The following is a 21,041-nucleotide window of genomic DNA, read 5'->3' on the forward strand; positions in this document are numbered from 1 at the left end:
AAATTTGAAGTGTTCAAAAAAAACAAAACAAAACAAAACAAAAAACAAATACAACAATAGACAAAGGAGCCCTGAATGAAAGATCTACTGAATGATCAAAATTGAATCAAATTGAGCAACAAAATAAACAAGGCAGTATTGCATTTTAACCCGAAGTATAAAATAAATATCCATGAGTCCACACTGATATAAATAAATGATTGAATAAATAAATAATTGTGGGAGAATAATTTATATACATATGCCTCCCTTAAGGAGAAGGAGCCCTTAGTATGGATTGGACAAAGTGACATCCTTCCAAAAAGTACAGACTAAAATATGAGACAGGCTTGGCACGGTGGCTCATGCCTGTAATCCCAGCACTTTGGGAGGCCGAGGCTGGCAGATCACTGGAGGCCAGGAGTTTGAGACCAGCCTGACCAACATGGTGAAACCCCATCTCTACTAAAAACACAAAAATTAGCTGGGTGTGGTGGTTGGTGCAAACACCTGTAATCCCAGCTACTCAGGAGGCTCAGGCAGGAGAATCGCTTGAACCTGGGAGGTGGAGGTTGCAGTGAGCCAAGATGGTACACTTGCACTCCAGTCTTGGTGACACAGCAAGACTCCTTCTCATAAATAAATAAATATATGAGACAAAAGAGTAACTTTATATAGAGAAATCTAGTAAACACTTCTTCCAGGGGATCAAGGTTGACACCAGTGGCATGTGATGAAAATTAATATTTTGTGATGAAAATAGAACTTTACTTCTGGAGTCTTCCTCCCAAAAATATATAACCCCATTCTAAAAATGAAGAATATCAAATAAATTCCAATTGAGAGATATTCCACAAAATATCTGACAGGTATTCCTCAAAGCTGTCAAAGTCACCAAAAATTAGGGAAGTCTGAGGAACTGTCACATCCAAGAAAAGTCTAAGGAAAGTTGATGACTAAAAGTAATGGGTTATCCCGGATGGGACCCTGGGACAGAAAAATGACACTGGGTAACAAGTAGGGAAATTTAAATAAAGTAGGAACTTCAGATAATAATAATAATTAATAATAATAAGGACAGCATCTAATCTGCAGATCTAGACATAGAAGGTAAAATACTCATTGACTTTTCCTCCCCCTGCTCCTCTCTGTGCCAGCCCCCACCTCATCCCTTCTAGGTTCTGCTGGAAAGTGTTTGGTCAGTGAGATAATGTCAACATGAATAAAGGTGAAAACAAGTCAAATGATCATCAAAAACAGATGAGATATAATAACTAGGTGAAAGTGCAAGGAAACAGAGCCAGTTGAACCCTTGCTCACTGGCTTTCCCTGCAGGCTCCTCCACTGTCACTGAAAAAGCCAGTGCAGGAGCAGGACACACGGTGGATCTGCTGGAAGGGCCAAGGTCAGGGACCCATCTGTCCAATGCCTGAGGCTTCCTTGTGAAAAACCAGCTCTGCACATCTCTTCCAATAACAGGGACATGCATGGTGCTTGTGACCAAACAAAAGATGAGAAACAACTTAAATGAACAATCATAGGGAATTGGTTAAATTCTGGTCCATTCTTAGAATATGCTACTGTGATACTATGGAAAGATGATACAGATGACTACTAACAAAAATAGAGGTTCATGTAATGGTGTTAAATGAAAAAGCAGGATATATTATCTAACCTCATTACTAGAAAATATAAACATATGTGCATAGGAAAATCTGGAAGAACATACATTTAAATCATAGCAGTGGTTATCTCTGAGTAGCATAAACATGGCTATTTTATCTCTTTGGTTGTTTATACTTTCTAATTTTTCTATGATGATCATGTTCTAGTCATGTAACTTTTAAAAAAGAAACATACTAGTAAACATTTCTTCTATAGAATCATCTATCAGAGTTATTCTACGAAATCACACCTGAGAGAAAATCAGTCAAACCAAGTTCACCTTGGACCTTAGTACTAGACATCTCAGACAAGCCATAGCTGAGTACACTTTTCACAGCATACAGATTAACTTCATCACTGGCCATCAGAGAAATGCAAATCAAAACCACAATGAGATACCATCTCACACCAGTTAGAATGGCGATCATTAAAAAGTCAGGAAACAACAGGTGCTGGAGAGGATATGGAGAAATATGAACAATTTTACACTGTTGGTGGGACTGTAAACTAGTTCAACCATTGTGGAAGACAGTGTGGCAATTCCTCAAGAATCTAGAACTAGAAATACCACTTGACCCAGCCATCCCATTACTGGGTATATACCCAAAGGATTATAAATCATGCTGCTATAAAGACACATGCACACGTATGTTTATTGCAGCACTATTCACAATAGCAAAGACTTGGAACCAACCCAAATGTCCATCAATGATAGACTGAATTAAGAAAATGTGGCACATATACACCATGGAATACTATGCAGCCATAAAAAAGGATGAGTTCATGTCCTTTGTAGGGACATGGATGAAGCTGGAAACCATCATTCTGAGCAAACTATTGCAAGGACAAAAAACCAAACACTGCATGTTCTTAGTCATAGGTGGGAATTGAACAATGAGAACACTTGGGCACGAGAAGGGGAACATCACACACCAGGGCCTGTCATGGGGTGGGGGGAGGCAGAAGGATAGCATTAGGAGATACACCTAATGTAAATGACGAGTTAATGGGTGCAGCACACCAACATGGCCCATGTATACGTATGTAACAAACCTGCACGTTGTGCACATGTACCCTAGAACTTAAAGTATAATTTAAAAAATGGTAAAAAAAATTAAAAAAAAATTATGCTACTTCTCTTTTTAAAATACTTATGAGGTACCCATACTCCCAAGTATGCCTCATAAAAGCCTTCAAAAAATATTTATTCACCCACTTCTTAGAGTACCTATTGTGTGCTATTGATATAACAGTGAACAGAACAGACAGAAATCCCTGCCTTTATAGGGCTTCCATTCTAATAAGATCCTTCGAAACTTTTAACTCACTCACAGAAATAAAAAGTGTTCAGGTATAAATTATGCTATGGCTACAAGCTCCTTAATACCCATGCCAACTTCACCCATTGCAATATCCTAACGTGAAGTAAAGAGTTGCAGCAAATGGCTCTGTTGTTACATAGTAATATATATTCTTCTATATTATTATAGGTTTGTTTATTAGATCTCAGAGTGCTTAATTCTGTTTCTTAGGGTAAACAAGAAATTATGGCATCAAATTGCCTAGGAACAAACATAAAAGCAGTGCCGTTACCCTGGAGAATGGTGTAGAAAGGGGAGAGGGCTTCAGCTTAAAAGCAGATTGTTGCAATGTCTGAGCCAGCTGATTCACTGCTCTTCAAGTCACCGTCCCTCTCCATATTCATTCTATTTCACTACTCAGCAGGAACTCAGCCAAAGTATTACTGAATTTCCCACTTCTCAGCATGAAGAAACATTTACCATTTGCTGGGATTCTGATTGTCAGAACAAAACCTCTCCTTGCCACTGGAGTCACTGCAAATAGAGTTGAACCTGCTGATATAGGTAGACTCCCCACTGAGTTTGTGGAAATACTTATATGGCTGCTGTCACCCTCACTCAAAATGTGGGATAAAGGAAAATTTCGTACATTGCTGTTTTGTATGCATTCATTGCCTTTCCCCTCTGCAATGGATTGTGATTTGGTGACAGAGCAAAACACCAGAGCCAGGCATGAGGGCACCATCTTGAATTTAATGTGGACCATTCTTCTGGGGTCCTGGTATGGCCTTCTGAGGGTACCCTCATTAATTGTCTGGCTATACCTAAACTATCGGAAGGGGTCCGACCCTCCTCCTTTCAACGACTGGGCACTTCCCACAGCTGAATCCAACCAGTCGTACAATCCCCGACCACTAGTGGAGAAGAACCAAACCTGGATCCCCACCCCTGCCACAAATAAATGGTTGATTATCAGCAAGTTGGACACTTCTTCCCCTTGGGGATACTTTAAAAAAGTCTGGCCTCATCTCTTAGAACAATTTGCTTGGAGAAAATGATCTAATTAGTTAATGAAGATTGTGACAAAGGCACATATCTCAGCACAGTACCTGAACTTGGGAAAATTATCTATATTACTTTTAAACATGCTTAGAAAAACAAAAGTTCAAGCCAAAAATTGATACATCACCGTCCTTTATTTTATAATTATGCTCCATGTTTGATTTTCATAAAAGCAATGCTCTTTTAGGAGTTTTAACTCTCAATTGTTTAATTATTTTTCATAAATATAACAATTTCTCCCAAAGGTATCTATGATTTTCTCCCCTTTCACTGCCACAACCAGCCTATCTTTTGTTCTCTCTCTCTCTCTCTGTCTCTCTCTCTCCATTCTCTCTTTCTCTCTCTCTCTCTCATCATTTTTCTTCGTGGCTACTTTTTTGTTTTGGTATGGGGAACAGTTGTACAGAATTATTTTTCTCCAGGAAACAGGTTCACATTTATTCATATATCAAATACAGCTATTAGGATTATTTATATTAGTCTACTGGAAACCAAAGTGCCCTTCAACAAAGCTGTGTAATAGGTGTGGTTGTGGGGAGAGGGTTTCCTCAATCAAATTTAACTGAGTTAAACTAGTATCTTCACACCAGGACTTACCAGCACCTTAAATAATGCTAACATCTATTAAGAATCCCTGAGAACAGCCAATAGCATGTAGTTTCTCTCAATTTTATTTGGCTAAATAGCTCCTTTTTATCAAGGACATCTTATAGAGTGAAAACGCCTTCAGAAAAATGGAATTAATTTCTTATCATATGGTATCACACTATATCAAGTCATTAACCCAGTATACCCTGTTGTTTTCCACTAAATGAGAGCAATCAAGAGAGAACAGCCGCTAGTCCTCATCCACGCTTGGGTCTGGCCTCATTCCCTTGAGTTCAATATGATTTCCCATAGCACTGGCCTTGGTCCTTTCAATCCACTGTGACTTCAGTGTGACCTTTGGAACCCCACACTGCAGTGCAGCAGTATCTTCAGGTGGAGGTTTTCTGAACCTCTTCAGGTGAGCATCACCTCAAATGGCAATAATTTGGTCTACTTGGAGCTTTTGAGTAAATTCTAATATTGGTAGCCTTAGTTTTAAACAAAAATAAGTGTTGGATATCTGTTTTTTCTCTTTCAAACATAATGCTATGATATGACATTTGGAAAAAGCACTTTCTCCTATAGACACTTTCTATCTGCAATGTGTACACACACACACACACACACACACACACACACACACCAAACCACATATACTAAACTAACGAAATTAAAATAATCATTTATTGCCACTTAAATGTTATTTTACATGAAGGAAAAAACTCTACTATACATTCTATTTCTAAAATCAGTATCTGTTTGTGGTAGAAAGCCCTTATCAAAATGCACAAAAACCATCCAGGAGTTTTGAACTGCAAGGGACTGGAATGTTAACGTGAGCCCCACTGAGGATGGGACAATATGAGATTTGATCCTGTGATTTTCATTTCAGGAACCGCTGTGGTAAAATCATTGTAATAGCTGATACTATGTACTGGGCATGTATTTTGGCTAAAGTAACTGGCCAAAATCACACAGTTAGCACAAAGGAGTCTTGATTCTGGATTCACACACATGCAATCTGAATTCACACCCTTCCTCCTATCCTCCCATATCTAAAATAATCTTGTACCAAAATGCAGAGTAAGTTATAATAACTACCAATAATAAAAGAGTCAAGTCAAAATTGTATCTCATTTATATTATTAACATTTAGGTATGTACCTGAGTCATATACTGGATTATTGAATACCCTTGAATAATCAATAATTTTGAAGCAATAATCTTGCTTCCCTGTAAACAAAAGTAAGTCATCCCCTAACCCCACTTTAAAATAGTTTGTGGCAATGGCTCAGGAAGTAACTACATTAAGGTCCTGACTTAAAGAGTTCTCTTAAATAACTGCTTTCATCTTTTCCCTCCCTTCTGCCAGACTGGAATATTAACAAGTATTCCAAAACTCTAGGCCAGTGGAGTCTAGCCAGGCAAGCTCCAGGACTCTTTAACTTGGTGGTTCTCAATCCTGGCTGCATATGGGAACCACATAGCTTTTAAAACTCTTAGTGCTCAATTTGTACCCCAGATCACTTAAAGCAGAATCTATGAGGGTAGGACTAAGCCTTCAGGAATTGTTTAAGCTCTTCAGATAATTTTACTGTACTGGAGTTTCAAAACTACTGTCTTCATCTCTCCAATCCTCTCATTCTTCATCTTCCATGAGCTATTTGCAACTCCTCACCATCCTTGGAAGCTGGCCAGATTCAGTTCTGGCACTGTCCCCATAGGACTTGGACACTTTATTTCAGTTTTCCATTTAAAAAAATGGAAATAATAACACTCACTTCACAGGGCAATGGTAAGAATAAAAATATATCATACATGTGAAAACAGCCAGCACAGTGCTGACACATAGTAGGTGCTCATTCAGTATCAATTTCCATCCCTTTCCTCAGATGAAGACATTTAGGAACTATCTAGAAGATTTGCAAGTGCCGGGAAAATTTAGTAGCAGCATGCTTTCCCAACTAGGGAATTTATTTGCCTCTCTAAGACACAAAAGCCTTATAGTGAGGCCACATTAATAAGAGCCTTTCCTTTTGTAGAAATACAATTTAGCAACTTTAACCCAACCAAAAAATTACTTTCGTGCCATGTGCGTTAGATGTAGTGTCGTCTAAGGTGATAATCTATTCTTAAACTCTTCAAGGTATATTTCATATTAAAAACTAGAATGATTAAGCCCATTATCTACATTTTTTATTTTTTTGAGATGGAGTCTCGCTCTGTCACCCAGCCTGGAGTGCAGTGGCGCCATCCCGGGTCACTGCAAACTCCACCTCCTGGGTTCAAGTGATCTCCCACCTCAGCCTCCTGAGTAGCTGGGATTACAGAAGCATCCCACCATGCCTAGATAATTTTTGTATTTTTAGTAGAAATGGGGTTTCACCATGGTGGCCAGAGTGGTCTCGAACTCCTGACCTCAAGTGATCTGCCCATCTCGGCCTCCCAAAGTGCTGGGATTACAGGTGTGAGCCACCAAGCCTGTCCCCATTACCTACATTTTTAAAGACCCAGATTCTCCAAGGACTTTACCTCAAGAAAGTGAGAATGCTGAATTCTCTATGGCTTCCATTTTTTCATCACACAGAGCAAAGAATGCAGGGGACAGGAAGCTTGCAGTCTGAGAAGCTATTTAGAAGGAGCTGAGTTGATCCTGTCTGAACCAAACGGCCACTAGTATGGTATGGAAAGATGACCCAACCAGCATTTCCAGATCCCTAGAGGGATATGCATCCATAGAAAACAGATAAACCATGTAGTTTTGCTACCTTCCATGCAACCTGAAGTTGTTTTCTCCCACTGGTGGTTCTCAATCCCGGGTGCACATCAGATTGCTTGGGGAGCTTTGAAAAGTACTGATGCCCAAGCCTTACCCCCAGGAGTCTCTGAAGTAATTGATCACCCTGGAGTGGAGCCCAAACATCAGTATGTTTGTAATGCCCAGTTATCCTAATGTGTGACCAGGCTTGAAAACCACTGGCTTTGGGACTGAGTCTGTTTTGAGAGCAACTTGGTTTATACTTAGCTTTAGAAGGATAATGGGGCGGCCAACCTGCTCCCTGTTCCTGTTGTCTGGGAATGCCCAACCCTCAGCCATGTGCTAAGATTGTAGAAACACAATTTAGCAAACTTAACCCATGGTATGAGAGAAAATTACTCTCTTACCATGGGCATTAGATGTAGTGTTGTCTAAGGTGATAATCTATTCTTAAACTAAGAATAGATCTAAGACAGGATCTTAGTGCTAAGGTCTGTGACAGGAAAATGAGCCCATGGAGAGGCTTTTGGGAGAGGTGGGTGGTCTTATGAAAAAAACCATGGGCTTGGGGCACGTCACAGAGCTAAGCTATTACTAGCTGTGAAATCCTAAGTAAATAATCTGTTCTAGCACTCAGGGTTTGGTTTTCTTTCTTCCTTTTTTAAAATGAGAATAGTAACTGCCTTCCATGGTTGTGGTGAGGATTTTAAAGGAAATATAAATGGGAATATGCATATGCAGTACCCATGTGCCATTGCACAGTACACAATGCCCAGAATGTTGTAGGTATTTGATATACAGCCATCATTGTTACACAGCACAGGAAGACAAAAGGTCATCATTGCTGCCTCGTGATAGCGCCCTCCCTGGTGGATCTTCTTATTACAATATAGAAAAGTCACATAATTCCCCACAGGATGGGTTTTATTACATGAAAGATCTCACCACACAATGAAGAGATTAACTTAATGAATTTATTTGTGAATATTTGGCAGAGAATACACCACTTTGATTCACAAAAGACCAGTTATTTAAAATCTGCATTTGTGAAAATATATATATTATGTATATATTATATATATTTTTATATATATATTTTATATACATATATTTCTATTCTGCTACCTGAGGAAGCCACTTTGCTGAAACTATGTGCCATTTTAAGCAAAGGAAAAATGGCTAGCCCACATTCTAAACCATTTAGGCAATGCAAAAATATAGTGGTTCATTCACTCACTTTGGTTTTGTTTTTGTTTTTAAGACGGAGTCTTGATCTGTTGCCCAAGCTGGAGTGCAGTGGCACAATCTCGGCTCACTGCAACCTCTCAGGTTTAAGTGATTCTCCTGCCTCAGACTCTGTAGTAGCCGGGATTACAGGTATGCAACATCACACCCAGATAATTTTTTGTATTTTTAGTAGAGATGGGGTTTCACCAGGTTGGCCAGGATGGTCTCAAACTCCTGACCGCGGTGATCCAAACACCTCAGCCTCACAAAGTACTGGGATTACAGACATGAGCCACCCTGCCCAGCCCATTCAATCACTTTGAGTAACACCTAACCTCAAGTACAAAGAGTGCTGGAAATCCCAGTGGGAAGTATGCCTTAGATAACCAACCAAGACGGAAGGAGTTCCAGTCCCTGAATTTTAATCTTGAAATCATTAGAAAACTGTCAAGGACACTTCTCATTCTTAAGACACGTTGCGTTTATTATGCCGAGTCATGGTAATTATTTGAGTCACTCATTGGAAGCCATTCCTGAGCCAGTGATTCCCTGGATTTTTTGGAGCTTCTTTGTGCCTTATTCCATAAATAACTCAATCCTGCCTATCAGCTTCCTGAGGATAGGTATGCAGTATATGCATCCCCAGAACTTAATCACAGTATTAACTGGTGGTGAGAAATATTTAATGAGTGAATAAACTACTCTACTTCACATTCAGTAACCTTCATAAATCTTCCATTTACTAAAGAATAAATGAATCACTTTGAATATACACAAGCTGGAAATGATGATTGGGATCTACAGATCCGAATATTTCTCTCTTTCTTCAGCGGTGTCTTGATATTTAGATTTTGCTGCCCATGTTTGCTTGAGAAGAATGTCAACAAGTTCCTTTCCTCTCAAGCTTTCAAGTTTGAGTCCTTGTTTTACACAAATGCTAAAATCTTAGCTCATTTCTACTGGTCTCATGATAATATGGGGAGGCACTGAGACATATTTTTTGAGCCTTCTTTCCCTGAACAAATAGGTGAAAGGGGAGGAGCAATTTAAATGAGGCTGGAAAAATCGGCTCTTTTTCAAACGATGGCTTCCTATCAAATGCCCTGTGACTTCATGATTTAATGCTAAGGATATAAAAATAGACTAAAAATGAACTCCCTCAAGGTGATGATCATCTTTAATTTTCTCATTTATAATGTGGTTATAAATTTTCTCATCATTAATGTGTTTCTTCGTTTTCATTTTGTTTGTCTTGGCATGATTCTAGTTGTTTCAATGGAGAATCATATTTTGGAGATAACGCAAGCTAAGTCTTTTGCTGTATTTTTCTTAACAACGTGTGCATTTTCCCACTTGTGCATGAGAAGATGGGAAATGTAAGGCTATTCAGAAGCTCCTATGTCCTTTGTTCACACTAACAGTGGCCAATTTCAGAAGAAGCCTATAAAGATACATTTCTTCAAGGTGATAGAGCTCCTGCATAACAAAGCTGGATCAAGTGGGATAGGCTTCAATCCAGTCCACAGTAAGTGACAACTGCCATCCTTCAATCAACTCAGGTAAAAGACAGTTGCAGAGAGAACACTTACCAGAGTCTTCACTTAAAAGATAGTGCAGGATCCCTCCCACACCCCAACAATGTGCTTGATATTGGTACATGGAGCTTGATCTCACTCCCAGGCAGAATACAAGTGTGAAAGAAAAGTGGTTACAGTGAGGACTATTTAGAATCAGTCTTTAACCATTGGCAATGACCTTCAGAGAAAAGAGCACAGGCCTGCCCCCTGCTAACTTTGGGTAAGCTATTCATCTCTTTGTGCCTTAGTTTCCTAATCTGTGAAATAGAAATAATAGTACCTCCCTTAGAGGGTTATTGTGAGGATTCAATGACATAATACATGTTAAGGACCTAATGTTGTCCTGATATTTGTAGATATGCAATAAATGTTAAAATATCTGTGGTTGGGCCCGGCGCGGTGGCTCATGCCTGTAATCTCAGCACTTTGGGAGGCTGAGGCAGGCAGATCACGAGGTCAGGAGATCGAGACCATCCTGGCTAACACAGTGAAACCCCGTCTCCACTAAAAATACAAAAAATTAGCCGGGTGTGGTGGCGGGCGACTGTAGTCCCAGCTACTCGGGAAGCTGAGGCAGGAGAATGGCGTGAACCTGGGAGGCGGAGCTTGCAGTGAGCCGAGATGGCGCCACTGCACTCCAGCCTGGGCGACAGAGCAAGACTGTGTCTCAAAAAAAAAAAAATCTTTAATATAAAATCATTTAAGCATACAGAAATGTATAAATAATGATATAATAAATACCCATACTCTCAATAAAGTTTAATAAAATCTTAATAATTTTTACATTTGCTTAAACATTTTTTGAAAGAAATTAACACAGATAGAATTAAGTTACCCGGCAGATCCTCTCTATGATACTTCACTCTCTTCCCTCTGGAAAAGCCATCCTCCAGAATTTGGTATTTATCATTGCTGCGCATTTATGTATGAAATTATTGCATTTGTATCCACAAAATATCTAATATTTCTGCATGTTTTGAAACAATATAAATTGTATTAGAAAGCATATATCTTGTTGCAACTTGCTTTACTTGCTCGACATTATGCTCAGCATTGTTTGTAATAGCAAAAAGTGGAAGACAACCATTAATAGGAGAATGATTATATGTCTTTTGGAATATTTGCATTATAAAATACTACACAAATGTTAAAGTGGATGAAGGTTTTCAAATAACTAGCTTTATATTTTGCATAGAATTTCTTTTACTATGCATTAGCAAACCTAATGTATGGCAAAAGTTTTTTTATGAAAAAACTTTTAATGAAAGTCTGTCTGTGGGTGCCATCTCTTAAAAACAAGATAGACCTGGATTTTTTCTTTCTTATCTAATCAAATAATCTCTATATTTTAAAAGCAAGTTGAAGCCACTTGCAATTATTGTTATTCCTGATATTTTTGGACTTATTTCTACTGTTTAATTTTGTTTTGTGTTTATCATTCTTTATTCTTTGCTTCTCTGTCTTCCTTTAGCCTTCTATTAAGTTGATACATTCTCTTCGTTTATTGTTGTTCATTTGTTGATTTAGGTGCCTGCTGATATGGTTTGGATCTGTGTCTCATCCCACATCTCATGTCCAGTTGTAAACTCCAATGTTGGAGGTAGGGCCTGGTGGGAGGTGATTTGATCATGGGGGTAGATTTCCCCCTGGTACTGTTCTCATGATATTGAGTGATTCCTCATGAGATCTGGTCATTTAAAAGTGTGCGGCACCTCCTCCTGTTTCCTGCTGCTCTGGCAATATGAAGTGCTGGCTCCCCCTTCACCTTCTGCCATGACTCTAAGTTTCCTGAGGCCTCCCCAGAAGAAGCCACTATGCTTCCTGTACAGCCTGAAGAACTGTGGGCCAATTAAACCTCTTTTCTTTATAAATTACTCAGTCTCAGGTAGTTCTTTATAGCAATGCAAGAAAAGACTAATACACTTGGCTTAGTCAGCTTGGGCTGCTATAACAAAGTACTGTGACTGAGTGGGTTACAAACAACAGAAATTTATTTCTTGCAGTTCTAGAGGCTGGAAGTCCAAGATGAGGTTTCCAGCACAGTTGGCTTCCAGGGAGGGCCCTCTTCCTCTTCCAGGTTGCAGACTGCTGACTTCTTGTTGTGCCCTCTTATGGTAAAAACAGACCAAGCTAGCTCTCTGGGGTCTCTTTCATAAGGTCGTTAATCCCATTTGTGAGGGCTCCATCCTCATGACCTGATTACCTCCCAAAGGCTCCACCTCCAAACATCATCACATTGTGTGGGGGTTCAGTCAGGATGGTGGGAAAAATTGTAAAATAAACCTTCTTGAAAGGCCAGAAGGTTTTAGCAAAAGCCTCAGGATAGAGTTATGGCTGAAGGCAGCCTAATCCTCTTTGAGCTATAGCAAGGGTAATTAACATTGGAATGTAGAGGAGTCTATCTAAATAGCTTGTTTAATCATGTGGTCCTAAGACTAACCTTTGCCATCAGCAGGTGCATGACTGCTTTCTACTTGGGGGGTTGGCAATGGTAATTACCTTCTAGTGGTGTTTACTTGAGACTTTTGTCATTTAATGTGTGCTGAATAAATGCTAAGAAGGCCAGTGAGTCGGGCCAGGCTGCGGTTGCCACTGTTTACAGCACTCTCCTTGGGGTCTGTAAGCGGCCCAGACTCTCAGCTGGACTGACAAGCATAATATCTGTGTCAGTGTATGTTATTCATCTGTTGTTGGATCAAGGTCTGTGGGACGGACCGCTGCAACATTGGGGATTGGATTTTAACATATGAATTTGGTGGGAACACAAATATTCAGTGAATAACAATGCTATTATGTTTCCATTATTTTACTGATGATCCTTTGTGTTAAAAAGTTACAAAAATTACGTAGTTCTGACCAAAGACAAGATAGATCTTAGCACTCCTTAGGTCCATATTGAAACATCCCGCCTTCCATCTATAGCTTCTCTTTCCTATTTTAACACAAAAGTCGGATGTTATTTTATGGTCACTAGTCACTCAAATTTACCAACATGTTTTAATTACTGATGTGCTCACCCCTAATTCCTGTGTCTCATACATTCCTTGTGGGTTCACTTTTCTTCTTGTTGACATACTTCCCTTAACACTTTTTTTTTTGAATGGAGTGGCCCAGGCTGTGGCCCAGGCTGGAGTTCAATGGTACAATCTCAGCTCACTCCAACCTCCGCCTCCCAGGTTCAAGCAATTCTCCTGCCTCAACTTCCTGAGTAGCCGGGACCACAGGCACGTGCCACCACGCCTGGCTAATTTTTGTATTTTTAGTAGAGATGGGGTTTTGTCACGTTGGCTAGGCTGGTCTTGAACTCCTGACCTCAGGTGATCTGCCCACCTCAGCCTCCCAAAGTGCTGAGATTATAGGTGTGAGCCATCGTGCCTGGCCTTAACACTTTTTTTAATGAAAGTCTGTCTGTGGGTGGTAAATTATCATTGTATACCTGAAAATGTTTTAATGTGCCTTCACTCATAAGCAATAATTTAGCTATTTTAACTATTACATATTGCTCTATTTTCCCTTAGCATATGGAAGATATTTTCTTCATTGTCTTCTGGCTTCTACTGTTACCAATGCAAATTTTGCTGTCAGTTGATTACTTGCAACTTCCCTGCACATAATCAGCTTCTCATAGCATTTAAGGTTTCCTCACCCTTGATGTAGCTTTAGGCAATGTCATTCAATGTCTTTAGGTATGAATTTGTTTTTGTTTAGTTATGGCACTGGAGATGTACTTTCCATCTAAGAATTTGAGTCTTTCTTTACTTCTGGGAAATTATTACCTCTTTGTTGAAATATTGCTTTCCCACAACTTTCTCCATATCCTGCTAAAATTTCTGAGAGAAGTAGTTTATGGCAATTTGTCTATCTTCCATGCTTTTAAATTTTTTATTGAGATATAATTCACAAACCATAAATTTTGCCCTTTTGAGGTATATATTTTGAGGGTTTTTTCCTATATTCATAATGTTTCACAACCATCACCACTGTTTAATTCCAGAATATTTTCATCACCCCTAAAAACAACCTCATATCCATGAGAAGTCACTCTCCACTCTCTTTTCTCCCCAGCCCGTGACAACCACTAATGTACTTTCTGTCTCTATGGATTAGCCCATTCTGGGTATTTTATGTAAATGGAATAATACAATATGTGACCTTTTGTGTCTGGCTTCTTTTACTTAGCAAAACGTTCTCTAGGTTCATCCATGTTGTAAAATGTATGAGTACTTCATTTAAGTCACTCTATGATTAACTTTTTGAAAAACAGCCAAACTGTGTTCTAAAGTGGCTGCACCATTTTACATTCCCACCAGCAACATGTGAGGGTGCTAATTTCACCACATCTTCACCATCACTTGTTATTTCATTTGTTTTATTATTATTATAGCATCCTAGTGCATGTGAAGTGGTATATCACTGTGGTTTTGATTTGTATTTCCTTAATGACTAATAATGTTGAATATCTTTTTCATATGTCATTTGTATATCTTCTTTGGAGAAATGTTTGTTCAAATCCTTGCCACTTTTTAATTGGGTCGTCTTTTTATTGTTGAGTTGTAAGGATTCTTTACATATTCTGGATACAAGATCCTCATCAGATATGTGATTCTCAAATATTTTCTCTCTGTGGATTGTCTTTCCACGTTCTTGATAGTGGTTTCCAAAGCACAAAAGTTTTTTATTTTAATGAAGCCCAATTACCTAATTTTTTCTTGGTTGTTTGCACGTTGTTATGTTTAAGAAACCACTGCCAAATCCAAGGTCATGAAGATTTACCTCTATGTTTTCTTCTTTTTTATTTTATTTTTTTTCTTTTCTGAGACGGAGTCTCGCTCTGTTGCCCAGGCTGGGGTGCAGTGACATGATCTTGGCTCACTGCAACCTCCACCTCCTTGGTTCAAGTGTTTCTCCTGCCTCAGCCTCCCAAGTAGTGGGATTACAGGCACCCATCACCATGCCCGGCTAATTTTTGTATTTTAGTAGAGATGGGGTTTCACTATGTAGGTCAAGTTGGTCTTGAACTCCTGACCTCAAATGATCCACCCGCCTTGGCCTCCAAAAGTGCATGAGCCACCAAGCCCAGCCGTTTCCTTCTAAGATTTTTATGGTTCATGATCTTTCATTTTTTTGATATGGTTCCCTCTCCATGCTATATTTGGTGTAAAGTCTTCAGGACTATCCTCCAACATTAATTAACTTTTCCACTGTGTTCTACCTTGAACTTATACTATCAACTGATAGTTTTCTCTTTTTTAAAATTGCAATGACTATATGTTTGCTTCCTTTTTTTAAATTTCAGATTTTGAACCACTTCTTTTACATATCTCTGCTTTCTTGGGTTTGTACAATTTTTCTTCATTGTTTTTAGGATAATTTTTCCTCCATTTGGCTGTCTGAGTATCCTAAATACATTTTAAAGTGTTTGACAGCCTGCACCAAAAATCAACTTCTTCTAGAAGAAATTCATGTTCCAGTTGCCAATTTCTGTGGTACACTCTGCTACTGGCACCAATTCTTCCTCCTGTACCTGTGCCCTTTGCTTTCTAACCTGCACTTCCCTGCTTCTTGACTTTGCCTTTGGCCAGACCATTTTTCACAGCAGCTGTGTTATTTTATGTTCCTAGAAGCAATATACCAGGGTTCACATTTCTCCACACCCTCACCAATACCTGCTATTTGCTGTTTGTCTTTTATAGTAGCCATCCTAATGGGTGTGAAGTGGCATCTCACTGTGGCTTTGATCTGCATTTCCCTAATGACTAGCATCTTTCTATGTGCTTATTGGCCCATTTGTAGATCTTCTCTGGAGAAATGTCTATTCCAGTCCTTTGGCCATTTTTGAATTGGGTTTTACTTTTGTTGTTGTTGCTGCTGCTGTTGAGCTGCCAGAGTTCTTTATATCTTTCATATGTCTAGATATTAACCCCTTATCCCAATATATAATTTGAAAATATTTTCTCATATTGTGAGCTGCCTTTTCACTGTATTCATGTGTCTTTTGATGTATAAAAAGTTTTTAATTTTAATGAAGTCCAATTTATCTATTGCTTCTTTTGTTGCCTGTGACATTTTGGCTAATTTCAAGTAGAAGATACTTGGTTTGGGAGGCCGAAGCAGGCAGATCACAAGGTCAGGAGATCGAGACCATCCTGGATAACATGGTGAAACCCCGTCTCTACAAAAAATTAGCTGGGCGTGGTGGTGGGTGCCTGTAGTCCCAGCTACTCAGGAGGCTGAGGCAGCAGAATGGCGTGAACCTGGGAGGCGGAGCTTGCAGTGAGCCGAGATAGCGCCACTGCACTCCAGCCTGGGCGAAAGAGCGGGACTCCGTCTCAAAAAAAAAAAAAAAAAGAAGATATTTGGGTTTTGGGTTCTTTCTCTCTCTCGCCTGCCTAGAGTTTTGTAGTTACTTCCACCTCCTCCCTTAAACTTCCACTTCAGAGCCTTATAATGGCACTTTATGACTAATGCTCTATAATCATATTGGCATATTGCAGATCCAATTCCAAAGCTAGCTCGGTCTGGCAGAAAAGCTGTCCCAATGTCCTTCCATCTCTCTAGGCCAACAGCTTCCTGTTAATATTATTAAGCTGTGGCTTGGAGGAAACAGGCTGGCAGCAGTTGTTTTAGCCTGTCCACCCCATGTCCTGTATTCAGGTTATAGCCCTAGCTCTGATTCCCAGTGTCCCCTGCAGCACTTTTAGTCCCTTTTGCTCCACAGGATTCAAGCTCCTTCCTGCCACTCCTTACTCAGGATGTGGATCACAGCTGTCCCAGGGCTTCTGCAGTTCTCTCTCTCTCTTTTTTTTTTTTCTGGTTCCCAGAGTTGTTTGTCTCTGGCACCAGTTTTTTTAAAAGATATATTTTTTTATTATAATTTTACCTACCTTGGCGTGTGTTTGAGCAGAGGAGTGTTTGTCAAAAAATGAACTTACTCAACCATCTTGACCGGAATTCACAGCAAATGTTTTCATCTCCTAATGACTGAATTGGATCAGCTTACAGCAGATTGATTTGACTGCACTGGATCTAATCATGTAGGTGGTGTTGAAGAAATATAAAACCCTAAAATTCCAATTAAATCCATTCACTGGCTGTAAAATCAAAGGTTTTTAAAAGATTCTATCTATTGGTGGTCATTCAGAAGAGTCATCTCTTCTACAGCTATGAGATGGTAAGGTGGAGCTGTGAGCAGGAGCCAGCATGCATGGGCAGGGGCCCCCATGGCACACAAGCCAGAGGGAGGCATCTGTGATGCTCCTGAGGCAGGAAGGGAAGTAGAGAGCTGGGTATTGCAATGAGGTGGTGAGCACATCTGCTAGTGAAAGCATGATTCCAGCTCCTTCCGTGCACCCCTCAGGATGTGAAGCACAGCTGCCCTGCAGCTTCTGTCCTGTAGTGTCAATCTGCACACTGTGTAGTACCAGTTACACAGATTAATTATGTCTGGTGTTTTGAGAACTACCCACTTCCACCTCTGACCATCTCTCAAGTCCTGTAGGGCAGAGGATTGTGGTTTACAGCCCTGTAGGCTTTGGAGATGCTCAGAATGCAGAGCCTAAGACACTCCTTTTGGGACCACTTTGGATGGCTAAAGACAAGGTAGCTGTGATTCTGAGTCAGAGGCCTTGGGAACCCAGTGGCCATCCCTGGGTCCCCAGCAGAGCAAGTGGGTCCCAGGACAGCTCTGCATATTCTTGGAGGTGACAAGGATGCCCTCAGAAATCCCACCTGATCTAGCAAGGCTATGACCTTGTCAGGAGCAAACACCATCACTTCACACTGGAATTGCTTGGTTTAAAGCTGATTTCTTCCTGATACTCTGTAGTCCCAAGAGCATAATAACCTCAAGCAGAGACGAGATGCGAGGGGCTTCCAGAAACTATAGAACAAGATCTACTCACTACTCAAAAGCAAGTCTGTAGAGTTGAAACAAATCCAAACTTTAAGATGAGCCTTTTTTTCTGAGGATGGTTCCCTTCTGTGTAGTCGTAAACTAAATGGGAGGCTGCTCACTCACGCACCACGTACCCAGCTTAGAAACATTAATGCATACCCAGTAAGTGCCTGTCACCTTGGCAGCACTGGGGGCAGAAAGGAATAAGACAGTCCTCATCATGGAAAAAGCCACCTATCAATGTACAACAGGACTTAGAAGCAAACCATTGTAGTGCACTGTCAATTCCACCTAGATGATTTTGACAGGACTACAAAGAGAAATTAGCCAAGGGAAGAAGAGAATAAGGAGCATCCCAGGCACTCACAGAGGCAAGAAAAGTTCAAGGGTTATTCGGCGGATGTGGAGTCCACTTGTTTGACTTGGGTGAGGGAGCTACAGAAATTGAAGTTACAAAAGCAGGCAGACATAAGTCATATTTCATCTAAAATGCCACTAATTGTAAAATGAACTATTATTTCATGTACAACCAAGAAAAAAAAATGCTGCTAATTGAATTTTCACACACCATTGACTGCAAAACATCCCAATTCAAAATGGGTTAAAATGCAAGGCAATGTGCCTCTCAGAATGGATGAAATATGGTAATTCCCCAAAGAAGAAATGTAAAGGTGAATTAACACTAAAAAAACTGTTTTTTTAATAGAAAGATACATTCAAACCAAATGTAGATATCATTTTTCTCTTAGCAAATCAGTAAAATATTGAAAATAATGTTTAGCATTAGCAAGGGGATCATGAAATGGACAAACTCACACTAAAACCATACATTAATACCATCTTTCTGAAAATCACTTAGGTAATAATGTGTCAGGAACCTATATATGTCTGCATTCTTTGAGCCAGCAATCTTACTTAGTGGAATCTATGGTAAATCCGTACTTACAGACTCAGAAGACTTATGTACAAGAATGTAAGGTCACTTATAAAAATGCATGTTATATAAATGCTAAATTATCAATAGACATATAAATAAACTGTGGCATAGTCATAGAAATGTTAGTCAATTACTGAAATATTTGTTGAAGTATTTAATAACATGAAGAAAGTCTCATAATGTAGTGGTAAGTTTTAAAAGGAAGGAAACAAAACTCTACATAAAGTATTAATCTAATTCAAATCTAGAGAAAAAGTATTTAATAAAGACAGGAAGGAGAGGTAATCTTGGTTAACCCTGAGTGGTAGCATTATTGGCAACATTTTTCCTTCTTATGTTTATCATTTTTTAAATTTTCTTCAATGACGGTATTTATCTTTTATAATCTTTCCTTGCCCCAAACAGATGTGCTTTTCCAAATTCTGCTCGTTAAAATTAAATAAAAATTAAATTGTAGTTGAGAATGTAAGCACATGCATGGAGACAGAATGATCAATAAGTGCCCCTTATATTAAACAATAATTATACTTGATCCTCATGAATACTTATGATTTGCCAGTACATGTGAGATTGGGTCGAACAGAGGTCATACATGCCTTCCATATTTCTCGATAGTAGAGATTATTATGAGCACTATGTCAATACTGGGCTAAATTTACAAGCATTATTTCTAATTCTTATCTTCTCCCAAACAGATGAGAAAACAGACATTCCAAGAAGCTGAAGAAGCACATGTGAGGGCACACAATTTGAACACAGAAAAGCTGGGATTTAAACCTGAGTCTCGATCTCACCACAGACTCACACTACTTCCCTTGCACGATCTGCCTCTACAAGGCAGATCCTTCCATAGCATGTACAGATGAACATCAAAGAGGACCAAAATTCTATTCTTTCCATAGGTGAGGGGGACGATTGTGAACCAATTATAGAAATATTTATGTCCATTCCTAGAGGGGCCTCACAAATGAGGGTGACAGAGACAAAGCTCTCTGATAACGTGAGTAGACTGGATAACTATGGGGCCATGTTCTCAGTTTATCAACCCAATTCCCGAGAAACCAGGCCTTTCCATTGTCTGTGGTCACTAAGATAATGGTGCAATGCTGTTTACCCACCTGGCAACGTAAGGCGACACGTGGAGCTGGTGCTTGGGGCTGGTGAGCCGTGAGAACGCTGTTTTGTGCCTGTGAAGAGGAAAAAGAGGATAAGGAAAAGTAGGATTGTGGAAAAACCTGTTGGACAAGTAAATGTTCATCTGAAATGTTATCAAGTTGGGGTCTGAAAACAATGTTTAGAAGCAGGTTAGGTGAGGTTGCAGGGTGGTGCATATTCTGTGGTCCAGAAAAGCTGGGAGCATCGCCTTTGCCTTTGTGTGTGTGACAGTACGCAGTTCCTCTGGCTGGAAGGTTGATATGTTGGGACCGATGTGCCACTGAGCAATGCTACATTTTAGGATCACAGGGGAAGTTTTCTAAATAGGAAGTTGCCTGGGCGTCACCCCCACAGTACAGGGGTGGAGGCCCAGCACTCATGTTTTTAAAACCCCTCATTCTAATGTGCATCCAGGATGGAACAGGATGGAGGACTATCTGAAGAAGGGGAAGTTCTGATTTAGAATGAGGGAATCGGGGGTTTTGTCTCTGCTTTGTCCTTATAGGCTTTACTTGCTATTGGAACTCAAGCAATGAACTGGATCTCTCTGAAGCTCAGGTCTTCATCTGCAAAATGACGAGAATGACAACAATTGCGTCGAAGTGTTCCAGTGAGGATTAAAGGAAGCAAAGTGTGTCCAGTGCTCAGGAACAATGGGAGACTTCACAAATGCTAGTTTAGTGGGGTTTCTTAGTTTCCCAGCAACTGGCAACAGAATTCCTATGAGGAAGGGGATTATCTTTGTTCTAATAAACCCTTTAATGGGTCACGAGGCAATGAAAAGTCAAACCCCAGGATGGGATCAATAAGGAGAGAGCAGAATAAAGGGACAAAGGGAGAACTGAGAGGTCCTGCCAAAAAATTTTACATTTTTTGTATATATGTATGTGGGTGTGTA

The 21,041-nt window shown here is 39.7% G+C and overlaps 1 protein-coding gene across 17 annotated transcripts in view, besides 1 other annotated feature; it reads right to left on the bottom strand.

The window, feature by feature from the left end:
- PDE1C (phosphodiesterase 1C) overlaps nt 1–21,041 on the bottom strand; it is an 811,448-nt gene that overhangs the window by 138,781 nt on the left and 651,626 nt on the right. For all 17 annotated transcript variants that reach the window (XR_001744802.1, XR_001744803.1, XR_007060044.1 and 14 more), the window contains one exon: nt 20,107–20,175. Coding sequence is in view for 12 of the 17 variants with exons in the window: in XM_047420443.1 (XP_047276399.1) it covers nt 20,107–20,175 (69 nt within the window). In the remaining 5 variants the exon portion in view is untranslated. The remainder of the gene's footprint in view (nt 1–20,106; nt 20,176–21,041) is intronic.
- Nucleotides 12,113–13,047: an enhancer, noted in NCBI's record as "OCT4-NANOG hESC enhancer chr7:31807284-31808218 (GRCh37/hg19 assembly coordinates)". NCBI's record gives its function as "activates a minimal SCP1, AML or CMV promoter by ChIP-STARR-seq in naive H9 embryonic stem cells {active_cell/tissue: H9 hESC(naive)}" and the evidence as "EXISTENCE:reporter gene assay evidence [ECO:0000049][PMID:30033119]".

Source organism: Homo sapiens, chromosome 7 (genome assembly GCF_000001405.40).
Source record: "Homo sapiens chromosome 7, GRCh38.p14 Primary Assembly".
In the NCBI taxonomy this organism is placed as follows: Eukaryota; Metazoa; Chordata; class Mammalia; order Primates; family Hominidae; genus Homo; species Homo sapiens.